Below are 18,527 nucleotides of genomic sequence, written 5' to 3'. Positions count from 1 at the left end.
TTGCTCTATCCCCCTGGCTGGAGTGCAGTGGCACAATCTCAGCTTACTGCAACCCCAGCCTCCCAGGTTCAAATGGTTCTCCTGCTTCAGCCTCCCAAGTAGCTGAGATTACAGGTGTCTACCACCATGCCTGGCTAATCTTTGTATTTTTAGTAGAGACGGGGTTTTGTCATGTTGGCCAGGCTGGTCTTGAACTCCTGACCTCAAGTGATCTGCCTGCATTGGCCTCCCAAAGTGCTAGGATTACAGGTGTGAGCCACCACACCTGGCCAGACTGATCTTTTAAAGAAGTATATGTTAGCACAGCACTCCATGACTTAAAAACCTTAAGAGGACTACCATTTCTTTCAAGATAAAAGAATAAAATCCTCGCTGGGCACAGTGGTTCATGCCTGTAATCACTGCTTTGGGAAGCCGAGGTGGGAAGATCACTTTAGGCCAGGAGTTCGAGACCATCCATGGGCAACATGGTGAGACCACATCTCTACAAAAGATAAAATTAGCTAGGAGTGGTGGTGCATGCCTGTAGTCCCAGCTACTTGGAGAGTGAAGTGGGAGGATCGCTTGAGCCCTGGAGTTTGAGGCTGCAGTGAGCTATGACGGTGCCACTGCACTCCAGCCTGGGTGACGGAGTGGGACCTCATCAAAAACAAAAACAAAACCGTTATTGTGGCTTTGAGGCCTGGATCATACCTACATCACTTAATTTGGCCAAACCGGCCCATTTCAGGTACCCAAATACCCCACGTGCTTTCTTGCTTGGCTCTGGGACTAATGTGGTTACTGGTGCAGGGTGAATGGCAGGTATTGTAAACCACATTGTGGACCTAGAGTTGCTAGGACCTTTTTTGCCATTACACAGAAGCCTCCCTGAGAACACAGCCATTGGATGACACATGGCAGAGGAAGATAAGACAATAAACGGAGACACAAAATTATGGCCAGCGCGGGGGCTCATGCCTGTAATCCCAGAACTTTGGGAGGCCAGGGTGGGCAGATCACCTAAGGTCAGGAGTTCAAGGCCAACCTGGCAAACATAGTGAAACCCCATCTCTACTAAAAATACAAAAATTAGCCAGGTGTGGTGGCGTGGGCCTGTAGTCCCAGCTACTCGGGAGGCTGAGGCAGGAGAATTGCTTGAACCCGGGAGGCGGAGGTTGCAGTGTGCCGCGATTGCGACACTGCGCGACAGAGTGAGACTCTGTGTCAAAAAAAAATTATATATATATATATATATATATAATGACTAATACACATGTGAAGATATTTAACCTCAGTAACTTCAGTTAAACAGCAGTAAAATCCCATTATTTGCCCATCAGATTGGCAAAAACTTAAGAACTAGAGAAGAAGTGGCGAAACGGGCTGCAGCGTCGCACTCCCTACCCCGGCAGGTGCGCGATCACACACACGCCTTGCAGGGCGACTTCGACCGGCACTTCCGGTCCCGGAAGGTCGTGCTTTTTGACCCCGGAAGTCCGGGCGGGCGCCGAGCCGGGTGCGTTTTGCCACAGAGCCGTAAAGGCGCGCGGGAACATGGGGCTGTATGCTGCAGCTGCAGGCGTGTTGGCCGGCGTGGAGAGCCGCCAGGGCTCTATCAAGGGGTTGGTGTACTCCAGCAACTTCCAGGTAGCGGACCTGGGCGCGAGTAGTAGGGGTGGGGAGTGAGGAACCCGGGGTGGGGTCGGACGGGCCCGGGTGGGGTCGGGAGGTGGGGCCCGGCGAGGAGGGCCGGGGGAGCCCCCACCCAGCTTGTCTTCCTCGGCCACACAGAACGTGAAGCAGCTGTACGCGCTGGTGTGCGAAACGCAGCGCTACTCCGCCGTGCTGGATGCTGTGATCGCCAGCGCCGGCCTCCTCCGTGCGGAGAAGAAGCTGCGGCCGCACCTGGCCAAGGTGAGGGGAGGGGAGGGACGGGGAAGTGAACCCCGACGGTCAGCGCTTTGTCATCTGGTCTCAGCTCTGCTGCCGTGCACGGCGGGACTGGAGCAAGTCGCTCATCTGAAATGAGTATGAGCCGACCTTCCCTGGGTTACGAATTAAGATGGGATGAAAATGCTTTAACTTTGAGTGTTTTGAAGGATTAAATAACCGAAGTACAAAGTGGTAGTGGCGGAGACTGTAAGGAAGTCGGGCGTGGCGGCGCGCACCTGTGGTCCCAGCTACTCGGGAGGCTGAGGGAGGAGGATCACTTGAGCCCAGGAGGTCGAAGCTGCAGTGAGCTATGATCTGGCCACTGCACTTCAGCCTGGGCGACAGAGCTAGACCCCATTCTAAAAAGAAAACCCAAACCCACGAAAGGGTAATGTTGGCAAGAAGTTGGGTGCAGAGGTGTCTACTGGTGAACATCGGTGGAGAAAGGGTCTAAGGCTGGGAAGCGAGACGCCAGGTTCCGATCCTGTTCTGTAGTTAATTTCTGGTGTGATCTTGGATAAGGTATCCCACCTGTATCTTGTCAGGTGATCTGTTTAGCCATTCCATTGCCGGGGCTCCATTAGAGTTAGTTCTAAGGCATTCATGCTTCATGCTTAGGGCATTTTTGTTTTTGTCTTTGTTCCCTCATTCCCAGGTGCTAGTGTATGAGTTGTTGTTGGGAAAGGGCTTTCGAGGGGGTGGGGGCCGATGGAAGGCTCTGTTGGGCCGGCACCAGGCGAGGCTCAAGGCTGAGTTGGCTCGGCTCAAGGTTCATCGGGGTGTGAGCCGGAATGAGGACCTGTTGGAAGTGGGATCCAGGCCTGGTCCAGGTAAGCTGGAAGGAGTTGGGGGGTGGGGGAGGCGGGGAACTTTGCTCCTGCCTACTCACTGCTCATTGCGTCCTACGTAGCCTCCCAGCTGCCTCGATTTGTGCGTGTGAACACTCTCAAGACCTGCTCCGATGATGTAGTTGATTATTTCAAGAGACAAGGTTTCTCCTATCAGGGTCGGGCTTCCAGGTGAGAGCTTAGAGCCCTGGCTGTCCTCATCTAGGGAGGTGTCTGGGGTATTGGGAAGAGAAGTGGCTGGATAGTTGTGACTTTGCTCTCTGGGCTTTCTTCCTACCTTTCCAGCAGTTTATCCATCTCCAAGGTTTGTCTTCCTGCCATCCCTTAAACATCGAACTCCTAGGAGCCTCATCCTACATTCTTCTTGATCTCTCCGTTTTTTCTCTAGCTTTAACTCCTGCCTCCCACCTGGTGATTCTCACCACCCAGTGTAGACTTCCCTCTTGCATTCTTACCTCCTCAGGTTCATATGAACGCACCACAGATGCTAACAGTCGCTGCATTTGTCATCTTTCCTCTCAGACTTTACACCTAGTACATCCCCAGTTAAATCTAACAGATGTCACCATCTTCCACCCATTTGGTCAAGCCAGAAACTGAGTCATCCTAGGTGCTTCCTTCTCCTCCCTCCAATCATTTACTCCCCTACCTTGAGCATCTTTCTCAGCTCCACTCCTTTCTCTCTTTTTTTTTTAGACTGAGTCTCACTCTGTCATCCAAGCTGGAGTGCAGTGGCATGATCTTGGCTCACTGCCTCCCGGGTTCAAGCGATGCTCCTGCCTCAGCCTCCTGAGTAGCTGGAATTAGAGGCTCCCACCACCAATGTCCAGCTAATTTTTGTATTTGCAGTAGAGATGAGGTTTCACCATGTTGGCCATGCTGGTCTGAAACTCCTGAACTCAGGTGATCTGCCCGCCTTGGTCTCCCAAAGTGCTCGGATTACAGGCGTGAGCCACCACATCTGGCCTCCACTCCTTTCTCTTCAGCCCCTCGGACACTGCCTAGGTTAAGCACTCATTTCTTATTGGGATGACCACAAGAACTTCCCAGACTGGTTTCTCTGCTTCCAGACTGTCTCACTGCATTTTCCTTGAGGTTGACTGTAGGAAGCTCTAAAGCCAGATCTGATGCTGTTACTCCTCTGCTAAGCTTTTTTTTTTTTTTTTTTTTTTTTTTTTTGAGACAAGGGTTTTGCTCTTGTTGCCCAGGCTGGAGTGCAATGGCGCAATCTCGGCTCACTGCAACCTCTGCCTCCTGGGTTCAAGCAATTCTCCTGCCTCAGCCTCCTGAGTAGCTGGGATTACAGGGATGCAGCACCACGCCCGGCTAATTTTGTATTTTTAGTAGAGACGGGGTTTCTCCATGTTGGTCAGGCTGGTCTCGAGGCTCCTGACTTCAGGTGATCTGCCCGCCTCGGCCTCCCAAAGTGCTGGGATTACAGGTGTGAGTCACCGTGCCCGGCCATGCTAAGCCCTTTCTTGGCTCCACTGTGCTGTCCCTCCTGCTTTCTCTCAGGTCCATCTGCCACGGTGCTGCGTGCACCAGTGTGCCAGCAACAGTGGCTGGTCCCTGCCCCGTGCCTCCTCCACTGGGCTCACACCTGTCTCGTTTTGTCCTTCGTTGGCTCTGAGAAGCAGCCTCTGCCCCTCTCCCTTTCTCCTACTCTTTGTAAGATCCTCTTCCTTCTGCCTCTACCATGTTGCTTGGACACCAGGGTGGAATAGCAGAGAACGGCTGCTTGCGTTTGAATTCCAGCTCTGCCACTTTGACAGATTTCTGAACTGAGAGATGTGACTCTCTAGGCCTATTTCTGCATGGGTCGGAGAGTCGGCGGGACTCCTTTACTGAGTTATAGTGAATGTAGTTTTAACCTAAGCGCCTCACATGACTAACTCCTCATCCATCAAGAATGAGCTCAGCTCTCACCTCCCTGCATCCCCTCACCCCCCTGTAAAGTAAACTTTTTCTGCTACTCGGGAGGCTGAGGCAGGAGAATGGCGTGAACCCGGGAGGTGGAGCTTGCAGTGAGCCGAGATCGCGCCACTGCACTCCAGCCTGGGCGACAGAGCGAGACTCCGTCTCAAAAAAAAAAAAAAAAAAAAGTAAACTTTTTCCAAGGTTATGCTTCAACAGGAATAGCTAACATTTATTAATTTGTGCCAAATAAGTATCTTGAATATATTGGCTCATTGAATCCCCACACCTACTATTTTACAGAGATGCCAGTGGGGCTTGAGATTGAATCATTTGCCCAGGCTCCCACTGCTGGTAAACAGTAGAGGGGGCTCCTGACCCATCAGTCTGGCTTGACAACCCATTCCCTCAACTGCGGATTCCGCCCATCTCTAGCTTATCACCCTGTTGATTTCTCCATAGCTGTGGTAACATTTGTTGCATGAATGGACCGTTGAAATGGGGCCTGGCAGGGAGAAATTCAGGAAATGAATGAATGGTTCTTCCCTGGCAGCCTCGATGACTTACGAGCCCTCAAGGGGAAGCATTTTCTCCTGGACCCCTTGATGCCGGAGCTGCTGGTGTTTCCCGCCCAGACAGATCTGCATGAACACCCACTGTACCGGGCCGGACACCTCATTCTGCAGGACAGGGTAGGCAAGAGGAATAGAAAAGGGAAGAATGTGTAGGCACGGGAAGGGCCTAGCCTGGGGTCTCTGTTTACCTGGCTCCTGTGCTCTGCCTGCCAGGCCAGCTGTCTCCCAGCCATGCTGCTGGACCCCCCGCCAGGCTCCCATGTCATCGATGCCTGTGCCGCCCCAGGCAATAAGACCAGTCACTTGGCTGCTCTTCTGAAGAACCAAGGGTGAGTGCCACAGGAGGAGGAGGAGGACATGGGGTTTGATTCTGTGCCTTTCAGTGGGTAATGAAGGCTGAAAGGATGACTTTCGCTTAAGTCTTTCTTGCTGCACCAAAGCAGTTCACGGTATTTGCCCCAAGCTAAGCTTTCCCCACTGCAGGTGTGAGATGTGGATCCCTTAGCCCTTGGGGCAGAGACCCCAGGCCAGTTACCTCTGACTGTGAGCCCTTTAAACGTAGGCCGTTTCAATATTGTGTGTCCTGGCTTAACCTGCATGTTCTGGTTGGCTGTGACAGGCCCTTAGCTGCTCCATGCGTGCTCAGCTCACCCCTGCTTTGCCCTAGGAAGATCTTTGCCTTTGACCTGGATGCCAAGCGGCTGGCATCCATGGCCACGCTGCTGGCCCGGGCTGGCGTCTCTTGCTGTGAACTGGCTGAGGAGGACTTCCTGGCGGTCTCCCCCTCGGATCCACGCTACCATGAGGTCCACTACATCCTGCTGGATCCTTCCTGCAGTGGCTCGGGTGAGATGGCGAGAAAGCGTGGCCGAGGGACTCGCAGATCCACAGCAGCTTAGACCTGGAGTCATTTGTTTTGGTCTTACTTCTGACACTAATGGGCTTGGGACCCTGGGACAAAAGTTCTCCTCTGTGAAGCGAGGATTTCAGGACTGAGGTAGCCTGTGAAGCTATGTAACAGAGACACTCTTTTCCTTAGGTATGCCGAGCAGACAGCTGGAGGAGCCCGGGGCAGGCACACCTAGCCCGGTGCGTCTGCATGCCCTGGCAGGGTTCCAGCAGCGAGCCCTGTGCCACGCACTCACTTTCCCTTCCCTGCAGCGGCTCGTCTACTCCACGTGCTCCCTCTGCCAGGAGGAGAATGAAGACGTGGTGCGAGATGCGCTGCAGCAGAACCCGGGCGCCTTCAGGTACAGGGCGGGCGCCAGGGTCGTGGGGAGTGGGGGACGGGGTGAGCTGCTCTCTTACCCAGCATTGGGGCCGTTTCTCTTGCAGGCTAGCTCCCGCCCTGCCTGCCTGGCCCCACCGAGGCCTGAGCACGTTCCCGGGTGCCGAGCACTGCCTCCGGGCCTCCCCTGAGACCACACTCAGCAGTGGCTTCTTCGTTGCTGTAATTGAACGGGTCGAGGTGCCAAGGTGAGTGAGTGGGGGCGTGCTTGGGAGGCGCAGGATGGCACCGGCACATCTAACATCTACACTTCTCTAGCTCAGCCTCACAGGCCAAAGCATCAGCACCAGAACGCACACCCAGCCCAGCCCCAAAGAGAAAGAAGAGACAGCAAAGAGCCGCAGCCGGTGCTTGCACACCGCCTTGCACATAGCAGAGGCTCCGGGCTGACTCCTTCCTGGTGGGAAAGGAAGATGCCTGTCCTCTCCGTGGAGGACCCTGGGCCCTCACCGCAGGAAGCAGTTTGGGTTTTGAAAGGTTATTGGGTCCCTTCCTTGGGCTGTGTTCTTGCTGGTGAGCAAAGTGTTGCCTGCAAAAATAAAATGCAGAACGTACTCTACGATAGATCACAGTTTTTTATTCTTAATGTCACAAGCAGGAGAAAAATCTCACATTCATACTAAAAGTTCCAACTAGACTCAACAGGAATGAAGTCTCTATTTGTAATGGAAAGTCCCAGCCTCCCGCTGCCGTCCAGTGCGTGTACTGTACACATCCACACTCACACTCACTCAGGGTTCCCGGACCGGCTGTCCTGCCTGCGGAACTGAGGTAAACTAGCTCAGGTGCTGACACTAGGAGGGTCTACCTTACATAAGGTACAGGTAGAAGCTTGATTGCTAGGCCCAGGCCCACCCAGACCCTCCAATCCTAACAGGTATTTAGGCTTGAGGTTCACTCCCTCCTCAGCTGCACACGCAGCCAGGTATTAACGAGGATCAGAGCTGTTCTGAGGGGTGGGAAGGAGCAGCCCCACCACCACTCACTCACCCTCAGTCACATCGGGGAGGGGGCACCAGTTACATTTACATCACATTATTTATAAAATAAGAATTACATTTCATATAACATGGCCAGAAGGAGCTCTAGTCCCCCAGGAAAGCTGCCGGGGACAGCATTTGAGCCTCTTCTTTGCACAGGCATAACTTAACTATACAGCTAATTCCTAGTTAATAGCATTTATACTTAACCACCTCAATGAACCAAGCTTGAAGGAATTTAAAAGGCAATTTAGCTTAAATACAAAAATAAATTTTTGTTAAAAAACGTTTAAATATTTTTTTCTTTTAATTTAGACACACGCATTCATACTTCTCCCAAAGAGGTTGGGCGTGGCAGCAAGGCGCTTGGGCCTGGGGTATGTGGTTTCAGAAGGACGGAAGGAAAGGCTGGGCTGCAGAGGGCCCTGTTTGGGAAAAATAGGATTTTAAAAATATGGTTCATTAATTTAGGTTTTCTAACATCTACTTTGGGTGATGTAGCCTCCAGTGAGGTCAGTTAAGTGGGACAGAAACGGCAGAGGGAAGAGGTCTTTGCTTCCCCTGGGCCCATTCTCCCTGGCTGCCAGCCCTTGAAGTCAGAACACCATGGGAAAATTCAGGAGTCGGCACTTGTAGCCGTCAAGTGGTGCTACTTTCCACATTCAATTAGCGAGGCCCCAGAAAACTTGAAACAGGAAGTCCGGCACTACCAACATGCCGCCACTCATACAACTCAACTCTTCCTCCAAACTCGATTCAAAGAGCAATACACAGAGCGTCAGACAAAGGAACACAGGGCAAGGCTTGAAACATACAATCCTGGAGAGGCAGACGAGGGCCCAATGGGGCCAAAGGGTAGCTGGGCGAGGAGGCAGCTGAAGCAGCGGTGGGCATCCTGCCTGCTCCAAGAGCTTCTCCCTTCACCCCTGGCTCTGCCAGGCTAACAGTCTTGAGCCACCAAGCTCTGAGGGGCCAAACTGGCAGAGGGTTGGAGATGAAACATTGATTCAGGCTTGGCAGGAAGAAAATGGCAGGAGCAGCACCCACTGGGGTCTCCAAGGCAAAGCTAGATTCAAGGGCATTTAAAAAGGAGGGAATCCTGCAAGGAACCGGTGAGGGACACAGCAGCAAGAAATGGGGAAACAGAGTCCCCAGAAGGGACCAGAGGAAGAGAACCACTTCTCACAGCTAAGCCAAGCAAGATAAAGCTTTACGGATAGCCCATTTCCCAAATCCCATCAGGTGCACACCACCGATCCAGGCGGGCTGGACCCTGCCCCCTCCAGCGACGACGGCTCTCGGGGAAAGGTGGAAGGGGCGCCTGCCTAAGGGTGCGCTAAGCGGGAGTCAGGGTAGCGGACACTATGTACAGGTGTTTCCTTAGTTCTCCAGCCTCCCCAGTGGAACTGTTCAAGTAGAGGTCCCGGGCTTTGGCCCTCCGCATCCTGCTTCCCCTTCCCTGAGGCTTGTGCTTCCTCCAGAAGGGAAAGGGCCCCAGGGCTGCCACTGCCCCCTGGCGGCTGAAGCCAGAGATCCGGGGTAGGTTTGCTTTACGCAGCTGGAAGGGTCCAAGGCTCTTTCTAGCACGTGCCAAGGTCCAGATTTAGGGAAGGGGTGGGGGGAACAGGGACAGGGGACAAAGGCTACTTTTTGCGGGTGTGCTGCCTTCGGGCCTGCAGTCGCTGTCGAGCCCCTAGGGTCTTGGATCCCGCACCAATGGAAAATGAAGGGGCCGCCGATCCTGGAAAGATTCAACAAGACCTCATCAGGGCAGCTGCTACCTGAGACTCTGGCTCTGGGTGCCCAAATCTCTGGAAGGCCAGGCCAGTAATAAAACACAGGGTGCCTCAATAGGGCTTTCCCCGCTGCATCAGAAACACTGTACGGGAGAAGCCTCCCGAAATGCAAACTCCCAGAGAGTCTCAGAGCGAGGCCCAAGAATCCATTTTTACCTGGCTTCCCATGGGAGGCAAACTTCCACCCCGGACAGCTCCTCTCTGATCTCTGCCATCCAACTCCCATCCCTGGGCTGTGCTGTACTCCTAACCCGAAATGTCTTTCCTGTGCTGAACCTGATCTTCACGGGGCCTCAGAGGGCCAGGAGCCTGCCACCCCGCCCAACCTCTCCTCAGACAGACGAGCAGGGCCACAGGGTGGCTTGCTGCTTACCGAAAGGTGCAACACCAACAAAGCCTTGGGCGGGTGCTGAGGATGCCCCAAAGGAGAGGCTGCTGCCTGATGTGCCCACTCCAGGCGCAGGGGTGTTCAGACCAAAGGTGGGGGTGGCGGTGCCTGGAATGAAGAGAACAGAGAGCTAGCCAGTGAGCAGAGGGCGGAGGCAAGCGAGGAGCCGGGCAGGAGCCTGTGCTCCACAGGGCACTTCCCACGGGACCCTCAGCCCCACTTCTGCTTCTGGGGCACTCCTCCATCAGCAGCTGAGCCAGACAACCGAGTCTTCATGCCTGGTGCCCCAGCTCAGCCTGCTTCTCCCACCCGCTAATGGCCACGCCAGGGCAGAGAAAAAGCCCCCCTGCCCCGCAGCCACCTCGTGGGCCTCCTGACCATCGCTGCAGAGGGGAGTACTCTGGGGCCCCCGCCTCCTAGCGTACCTGGGTTGGCTACCTCCTCTGTTCAGGCCTTTTTCCCCTAGCCACCGTCCCCTCCCCTCTGAAGCCTGGTTTGTCCGTCCCGCGTCTTTTGTGATGCCCCGTGGTACCCTCCCTTCCCCGGCCTTGCCCTGACTGGCTCTGGCTGCCTGCCCGAGGCCCTCTCTGGCAGCCCCTCTGCAGGGATGGCTGCTCTCAGGGCTTGGCCTCCGGCCCGGACAAGAGGAAGCTCCCTGTGCTCCCACGCTGCTTCCACACTGTTTCTCTTCCTTCCCTAAATACCGTAACTCAAGTTCAGATCACTTTAATCTGCCATGTCCTCATGTCACCTGTCAACTGCCAGGTCACTCCCTGATTCACAGAGGACCCTTGGCTCACTGGCTTCCTCCCCATCACCACTCACGGTGACTTCGCCCTGTGAGGCTGACTGATGGTCCTCTCAGCCCCTCGACCCTGCCACCCCCATGACCTCCTCTCCCCGACCCCTGCCACCACTCCTGCAGCCACACTGTCACCACAACTGCTCCGGCTCCCGAATCTCCTGTAGGCACCACCCCTCCTGCAGCTGACTTCACCCGCTCTCCACTCCTGCACCCCCTGAGCTGCATCGGGGCACTGACACGCTGCCCCTCCTGCTGTGCTTGCTGGGGTCTCCATGGCCGGGTGGCACCAGCTGTCCGCTGACCTTAGGTCTACACCCACAGTGTCGCTGGGAAACACACGCCATGCTAACTGGCCTCACTTTAACTTCACAATCACAATTTTCCAGCCCACAAACTGCCTGGAAACTGATCACACTTTTTAATATGATGTTCCTTTCCCCCACTGTCCAAAATGACTATTTCAAAAGACCCCTTTTTTTATACACTTTATCCTGACCCTCTCTCTCCCAGATTTTCTCTCCTACTTCACGAAGCAAACAGAAGCCATGGGATCTACATTCATCTTCCACATGGGAGGAACCATCACTGCATCCTTCTGCCTGATTCTGCAATGGTTTTCCTGAACACTTAAGACCCAAACACCCAACCCTGGCCACAAACAATCCTTGCCTCTTGGCCTCCTTCCACACCACTGCTTTAGCTCCTGCCCTCCTGCCATGCTTGTCTTTGTTCTGCTCTTCAACATACCAAACATGTTTCTGCCTCTGGGCCTTTGCATGCGCCATCCTGGGCCTGAAAGGCATGTCCACTTGTGCTGTGCCCACCCCCACCCCACCCCCATATTCAGCTTACGGTTTGTTTTTTGAGACAGAGTCTTGCTCTGTCACCCAGGCCGGAGTACAGTGGCATGATCTTGGCTCACTGCAACCTCCAACTCCTGGGTTCAAACCATTCTTGTGCCTCAGCCTCCTGAGTAGCTGGGATTACAGGTGGGTACCACCATGCCCGGCTAATTTTTTGGTATTTTTAGTAGAGACAGGGTTTCGCCAAGTTGTCCAGGCTAGTCTTGAACTCCTGTCCTCAAGTGATCCACCCTCCTTGGCCTCCCAAAATATTGGGATTACAAGCGTGAGCCACTGCGCCCAACCTTCAGCTTACAATTGTTAACTACTCAGAAGGCCTTTGACCAGTTAAATCCACAATGGCTCCTCCAGTCATTACTACGTTAGCAAAACATGTATCGTTCCCTGGCATCTCACTGAGTTCTATATTCAGTGCCTGTCTCTTCACTGCCACAGCATAAGCTCCCCGAGACCACAGGCTTCGCAGGCACAGCTTTTCAGTGTCCGGCCCGGTAGCCCAAGTCCACGCCCCTCCTTACCTCCAAACACAGGTTTGCTCTCAGTTGTGCTGCCCACGTTGAAGGCAAACGGTGTGCTCTGGCCGGTGGTGCCCAGGGCGTTCTGACCTAAGCCCCCTGCGAAGGGGGTGGAGGTGGCTGTGCTCCCACTCTGTCCTGCTCCAAAGCTGAAAGCTCCGGTGGTGGCGCTGGAGCCTGGGGTGGCCACGTTGATCCCAAAGCTCCCACTGCCAGCGGGGGCTGCCGAACCCCCAAACGTGAAGGGTGATGGTGTTGTGCTGCCAAACACCGAGCTGCTGCTCCCGCTGCTGGCGGTCTGGGTGGTGGCTCCAAAGCCGGAGCTGGTGGCTGCACCGAAGGAGAAGACAGCAGTGGAGCCGCCAAAGGCGGGCTGTGAGCTGGCGGGAGCGCCGAAGGCCGAAGCCGTGGCTTTCAACCCAAACGCCGAGTGCGTGGCACCGCCAAAGATAGGATGGATGGGCGTAGGCACGTGCGCAGGCACGATCTTGATCATGGACGGAGGTGCAGGTGTGGGTGCAGCAGCCGGGGCTGCAGAGTTTCCAAAAGTGAAAGAGCTGCCAAAGCTGGGGGCAAGGGCCGGCTTGGCGGCCCCCGGTGGCTGCCCCTCAGCGGCCCCAAATGTGGGCTGGGGGTTGGCTCCCAGATATGATGGGAGCGGGGACTTGGCGCTTGAGCCAAAGGGAATGTTGAACGTGGGGGTGCTCGTGTTACTGAACGTCAGAGTGGGCTGGCTGCTGGTGGCCGGGGCGGAGGTGGCGAGGGTGCTGCCAAAACCACTAAAGTCGGCAGCGCTGCTGCTGGTGGCCGTTGGCACGGCAGTGTGCAGGGACTGGCTGAAGGTGGTGACTGTGGTGGTTGTGGGCAAGGCAGGAGGTTTGCCAAACTGGAATATGGAGCCCATGGCCGGGGTGAAGCTGGCAGCAGAGGCCTGGGGCGCCCCGAAGAGGAAAGGCTGTGAGGCGGCAGTGGCGGTGCTGGTCGTGGTACTCACACTGCTGCTGCTCACACTGTTTATGCCAAAGCCAAACGCAGGCTTCGAAGCAGAGTCTGTGGATGGACTGGCAGAGGTGATGGGAGCCACAGCAGAGGTGGCGCTGGCCAGGCCAGTGAAGAGCGGGGCAGTTGTGGTGGGAGCAGTGGCGGGAGTAGTTGTCTGCTTGAAGAAGGGAGCAGGCAAGGGCACAGATGCAGGTGGCCCCATGCTGCTAAAGACAGGCTGGAAGGTCGGGGCTGTGGTGCTGGTGGTCGTGGGGAGGGAGGAGCTGGAGGGCGCTGTGGCTGAGACTGAAGGGCCAGGCGGTGTGGGGCCTTCCTTCTCACTCTTGGGTGGAGCCGTGAAAATGGGCTTGAACATGGGAGATGCTGAAGATGCAGCAGGGGCGGCAGGGCTGGAAGGTGAGGTGTTCTGTGTTCCAAACAGGAAGCTTTGCTTGGGGGCGGGGGACGGGGCAGATGTGGCTTGGGGTTTGGTAGTCGTCTCTGCCTGAAGGGTTGGAGGTGCCTTGGTGTCAGTGGCTGGTACCATGGATGGAGCAGGGATCAGCCCCAGCAAAGTGGTCGGGGGGTTGGAGTCAAAGGAGGGGCTGGGGAGCAGCCCTGGCGGCCCTGACTGTGATAAACCCAGCGGGGGTAGGAGGTTGGGTGTCTTTGGAGGTGAGAGGGCCTCAGTGGTTGCTGCTCCAGCAGATTCTGGAAGAAGAATAGAAAATGTGAAATTGGAATAAACACTTCAAAGATGATGGTATTCAGTATTTCAGTGTCCTCCCCACGCCTACCACAGAGCCTGGGATCCAAGAGTCAGTCAATAAACTCAGCTAAGTCTACACTACAGGCCTGTACAGTAAATCAAGGAAGTGTTCATTATTTCCACCTCACAGATCATCAGACAGAAGGGGATAAAATGGGGCCTAAATGGGGGCCTAATGTGTAGAGACTAAGACAGTCCAATTGTCTGAACTCTGAAGTTCACGTATGAATCTAGATATACTTTATTTGCCTACTAAGCTCACCTGCCAGGCGCTAAGAGCACACAACTATGAATGGGGAAGTCTCTGCCCTTGAGCAGGGAGGGTGCGTACGAACCCCAGGTTACCGTCTGATAAAGAGGTGTGCGCGCGCAGTGCCGTGAAGGCCTGGGCCGGGAACACCAGCAGCCCTCGAAGTGCTGGAGGGAAAGGAAGCAGTGCTGTTCTGGACCAGTGGTTCTGACAGGCAAGGATATCCTGACCACGCCACCACATTCACACTTCAGAGGTGCTGCACCGGGAAGATCATTCTCATCTGACAGATGAGGAAGGCGAGGCTCAGGGCAGCTACGAGCCAGGCTTCAGATCCTGAGCGTCGCAGCACCCCTTCTCTAACACTTCCTGATGCGGGCTCTGGCGCTGTTAAACGTGGGCCCGCTCCGGTGTGCTGAGCCAGGGTGCGTTCGGCCTGCAGAGCAATCTCCAGCGACTGACAGGCACGACGCCCTTATTCCAACCCAAGCCGGGGATGCTGCTCAGAAGGCTGGATCCACGGCCCCACTCCAGCTCACCTGGGCAGGGTGGCAGGCTCGGGGGAGTCTGCATCTTCTTCAAGCTCTCTAACAGTGGGTTGGTGCTTGGGGCCAGGAGGGAGGTGGGTGGGGAGGCAGGTGCAGCAGCAGGCAGGGTAAAGGTAAATGAAGGCTGAGTGATAGGTGGGGTCTCAGTGACAGAGTTCGAGGCAGCATCTAAGAAAGAAAGAAAGGTGAAGCAGTCCTGGCTTGTCTGGGACTTCTTTCCACATGCCTGTCGGAGAGCAGGCTCTCAGCACAGCTCATGGAGGAATGCCTGCCCTAAATTGCAGTGGTCCCTGCTGTCCAGTTCCCGTGAAGACCAACACGGATATCTCAGGTGAGAAAGACCACAAGAAAACATGGAACCCTACTTGGGATTTTCCCAGAGAAACCCATTTTTTCAAACACCAAAATAAAACCAAAGAAAACAGACACCTGAAACCTCTCCAGTGTGCAACAATCTGTGCTCCTTACCGCTCTTGTCCTCCAAGGCCTGGTTGAACCACTGTAATGAAGCCTTCTTCTCTAAGTCTAGGTCCTCGGCAGTGATCGAATAGCCAAGCTGGGGAGGTGGAGGCTACCAAAGTGAAAAAGAAGAAGTCAGGCCAATCAGAAAAAACGGGAAGGCTAGGCATGGTGGCTCACACCGGTAATCTCAGCACTTTGGGAGGCCAAGCCAGCTGGATCACTTGAGGTCAGGAGTTTGAGGCCGGCCTGGCCAACATGGTGAAACCCCATCTCTACTAAAAACACAAAAAATCAGCCAGGCGTGGTAGCAAGCACCTGTAATCCCAGCTACTTGGGAGGCTGAGGCAGGAGAATTGCTTGAACTCAGGAGGCAGAGGTTACGGTTAGCCAAAATCGAGCCACTGCACTCCAGCCTGGGTGACAGAGGGATGTTGTCTCAAAAAACAAAAACAAAAATAAATTAGAAAAAAAATCAGAAGAAACTTGTCCTTAGCGTTCCTAAGACTTAGGAGAGCTAAGCCGGGGAGGGCAGGAGTAGATGGACAAGACCATACCAAGGTCAGCTGTTCCCCTCGCCGAGAAGGCAGCAGCTGAACTTTCCGCTTACGCTGCCCAGAGCTGCCAGGTGTAGACTGAGAATTCGAGTTTTGTTTCTTCCTTGGGGTTGTATCTGCAGCTAAAGAAAGAAATCAAGACTCGTTTGCTTCCTTCCCTCTTCCAGAAATGGATGGTTGTGTCTACCCACTTCGCATTTCACACTGAGTTTTCAATGATGGTATCTCTGAAAAGATTCAATCTTCTATGGTTTGGTTGCTTGGATGGTGTTTGTAAGATTAAGGCGCGCACACAAACCGCTTACTGTGCAGTAATTACTGGGATCACCCACAGGTGACTCAAACTGAGCTTACCTCTATCCAATCGTTAGCCCCCGTCTGTAGCCTTTCTCCCTCATCAGACTATAAACTTCTGAAGGAGAGGAAATCTCTCTCTTTGTATCTAACATGCCTTAGACATAGCAATGCTCAAGACCTTTTTTCAATAGGTATTAATCTCTACATCCTCCACAAATACCTCCACCACCAACAGCAGCCCCTCCTCCTGGCTCAGCAACCTACCCTTTTCTCCCTGGGACTCCTTGTCTGCTGCCAATGGAGTTGAAGAACTGGAATGATGACACATCTCTTCTTCTCTGTTGGGAAAAAAGGAACAATTTAGTCTAGAAAGACTTCTTGGCTGAAGTATTAAATAATTTCTCACACCCTCCTAACTACCAAGTGGCCAACATCTAAAACAACCATCATTTAAGATCTCAGTATGCCAGGATAAAAAAAGTCAACAGGAAATTCCAACAGAATGAAGGGAGACTGTTCACAGAGGCCATGAAGACAGTTTTTGTCTTAAAACAAGCACAAAACAATAATCTTCAAACCTTACTTACAACCTACCAAGTCCCTGGGAGTTCTAGACACAGATGTGATCCCTGAGGGAGTGGCATTCCAGCCAACTGCAAGCACCTAGGGGATCAGCTCGAGTCAAGAACCTGAAGGTGACTGCCCGCTGACTTGACTCTCTCTGCTCTCCACTCTGCATGGCCTCTGTGCTTGCACCCGATCCCTCATGCTGGAGTGGGAGGCGACAGCCAGAGGCCACTGGAGTCAGTATCCAAGACTGTAGGGATGATAGTTGTTCAGGTGGGTGCTGCATTGTCCCTCTCAGGGACTTAGTTTCTTTGATTCTCCAAGTCACAGCAGCACAAAGCCTAAGAGCCAGGTTCGTTTCCCACCTTTCCTCACCCCCTTCTGTCCACGTAGCAAATGAAAACTGCAGGAGAATGCCGAATACCTTATTTTCTTTGCTGGCCTCTCCGGTGTCTGGGAGCGGGATGAGGCTGGGCTAGAGAAGGGTGATGAACTGGGGCCATTTCTCTTCCACAGCTAAAAATCAAGAGGGACATGACTGAGCCTGCTGATAACTTAGCATCTGACCCTCAACATGACAAAGTCTCTTTTTAAGTGACTAAAAAAATATTTTTTATGGTTAAATGGTTAGTCATGCCTGTAATCCCAGCATGCTGGGAGGCCAAGGTGGGAGGATTGCTTGAGCCCAGGAGTTTGAGACCAGCCTGGGTAACATAGCGAGACCCCCGTCTCTACAAAAAATTGAAAAATCAGTTGGGTGTGGTGGTTTGCATCTGTGGTCCCAACTACTCAGGAGGCTGCAGTGAGCTGAGATTGCCCCACTGCACTCCAGCCTGGGTGACAGAGTGAGACCCTGTCTCAAAAAAAAAAAAAAAAAAAAAAGAAAATGAAAATGGAAAAAATTTGTTTGTGAAGAAAGACCCCTGAAAAGAAAGTCAACTGCCAGTATTAATTATGAAAGCAAAAAAAGAAAAGTCTATAAAAGTAATGGAATGTGAATAAAGGTAGAAGGGATGGACACACTTTTGCATATATTAGCCTCAGTAATGAAGAGCCAGGACACATTCAAACCTGTGCCAGACTGTCTACGGAAAGGATACAAGTAAATTAAAGAAGACAACCCAGTAAACTAATTTAGTCTTGCTTCCATTAAATTTTCGATTTTTCATTTAGTAACTTCATTTTAAAAATACGCTGTCATGGCCAGGCGTGGTGGCTCACACCTGTAATCCCAGCACTTTGGGAGGCCAAGGGGGGTGGATCACGAGGTCAGGAGATGGAGACCATCTTGGCTAACACAGTGAAATCCCATCTCTACTAAAAATACAAAAAAATACAAAAAATTAGCTGGGCGTGGTGGCGGGTGCTTGTAGTCCCAGCTACTCGGGAGGCTGAGGCAGGAGAATGGCGTAAACCTGGGGGGCGGAGCTTGAAGTGAGCCAAGATCGTGCCACTGCACTCCAGCCTGGGTGACAGAGTGAGACTCTGTCTCAAAAAGAAACAAAAAACAAAAACAAAAACAAAAAAAGCACTGTCATAATATTTATGACTTTTGCAACAACGATGGCATTTATCATCATGTGATGATTATCCATACATCTGCCTCTTCCACCAGGTGAGTTCTTGACAGCAAAGATGGTGTTTTCATCTCTGCTTCCTCCACAGACCAGCAGCAAAGTAGATGGCACAGAGCGGACACTGCAAATAGTCTCGTAAGTGCTGAGCCTAATTACAAAGCCTAAACTGTCACCTCAGACCGTCTTTCCTACTTGAAAAGCTGCTAGTGATTTCTTACCCAGTACCAGCTACATCATATAAGTACAAACAGGAAGCCAACAATGCTTAATAAGAGTTCAAAAAGGGAAAAGAGGAAGCTTCAGACAAGTGGTAAGCAGCAGAACAGTTCAGTGAGGCCACCATCAGGAAGCCGGGCCCAGGAGGAGCTTGAGAAGACTGCTCACGGCAATAACAGTTGAAGTTACGCTCAAACAGCAAGAAAGGCCAGAGCACAATGGTTTAAAAAACATGGGATTACAGGCATATAAAAGAGCAGAATACAAAAATTCATCAAAGGGATCCAAGGATTGAATATATAAGCGGCATTTTCAATCACTTCAGATCCCTGACACTACCTCGCTGGTTCTCACACGACGGCTCATCAGTCACCTGTGGAACTTTTTTTTTTTTTGAGACGGAGCCTTGCTCTGTTACCA

At 53.2% G+C, this 18,527-nt stretch overlaps 1 protein-coding gene and 1 pseudogene across 5 annotated transcripts, besides 1 other annotated feature; one reads left to right on the top strand and one right to left on the bottom strand.

Annotated features, from left to right (window-relative positions):
• The first annotated feature begins 1,500 nt into the window (after window positions 1-1,500).
• On the top strand, window positions 1,501-7,811 carry NSUN5 (NOP2/Sun RNA methyltransferase 5). 5 transcript variants are annotated; one of them, NM_001168347.3, is made up of 10 exons: window positions 1,501-1,629; window positions 1,774-1,896; window positions 2,570-2,744; window positions 2,825-2,933; window positions 5,230-5,368; window positions 5,465-5,580; window positions 5,919-6,097; window positions 6,291-6,501; window positions 6,587-6,727; window positions 6,803-7,811. In NM_001168347.3, the coding sequence occupies exons 1-10, from the start codon at window positions 1,537-1,539 to the stop codon at window positions 6,927-6,929; spliced, it is 1,413 nt and encodes a 470-aa protein (NP_001161819.1). In that variant the 5' UTR covers window positions 1,501-1,536; the 3' UTR covers window positions 6,930-7,811. The 5 variants fall into 5 exon arrangements, with proteins under 5 accessions (NP_001161819.1, NP_683759.1, NP_001161820.1 ...); NM_148956.4 differs by having other exon boundaries at window positions 6,798-7,811; NM_001168348.3 differs by having other exon boundaries at window positions 2,684-2,744; window positions 6,587-7,811.
• Window positions 7,092-16,832, bottom strand: POM121B (POM121 transmembrane nucleoporin B (pseudogene); annotated as a pseudogene).
• Window positions 12,146-12,646: an enhancer, noted in NCBI's record as "H3K4me1 hESC enhancer chr7:72711681-72712181 (GRCh37/hg19 assembly coordinates)". NCBI's record gives its function as "activates a minimal SCP1, AML or CMV promoter by ChIP-STARR-seq in naive H9 embryonic stem cells {active_cell/tissue: H9 hESC(naive)}" and the evidence as "EXISTENCE:reporter gene assay evidence [ECO:0000049][PMID:30033119]".

This window comes from Homo sapiens, chromosome 7, assembly GCF_000001405.40.
Source record: "Homo sapiens chromosome 7, GRCh38.p14 Primary Assembly".
In the NCBI taxonomy this organism is placed as follows: Eukaryota; Metazoa; Chordata; class Mammalia; order Primates; family Hominidae; genus Homo; species Homo sapiens.
Note: the sequence above shows the minus strand (reverse complement) of the source record. Positions and strands in the feature narration are given on the sequence as shown.

Bases quoted from the DNA above. Each gene is read 5' to 3' on its own strand.
- NSUN5 (NM_001168347.3), top strand. From the start codon at position 1,537: ATGGGGCTGTATGCTGCAGCTGCAGGCGTGTTGGCCGGCGTGGAGAGC. The intron at 5,581-5,918 runs GTGAGTGCCACA...GCTTTGCCCTAG, and splicing joins GCTCTTCTGAAGAACCAAGG to GAAGATCTTTGCCTTTGACC. The intron at 6,728-6,802 runs GTGAGTGAGTGG...TCTCTAGCTCAG, and splicing joins GAACGGGTCGAGGTGCCAAG to CCTCACAGGCCAAAGCATCA.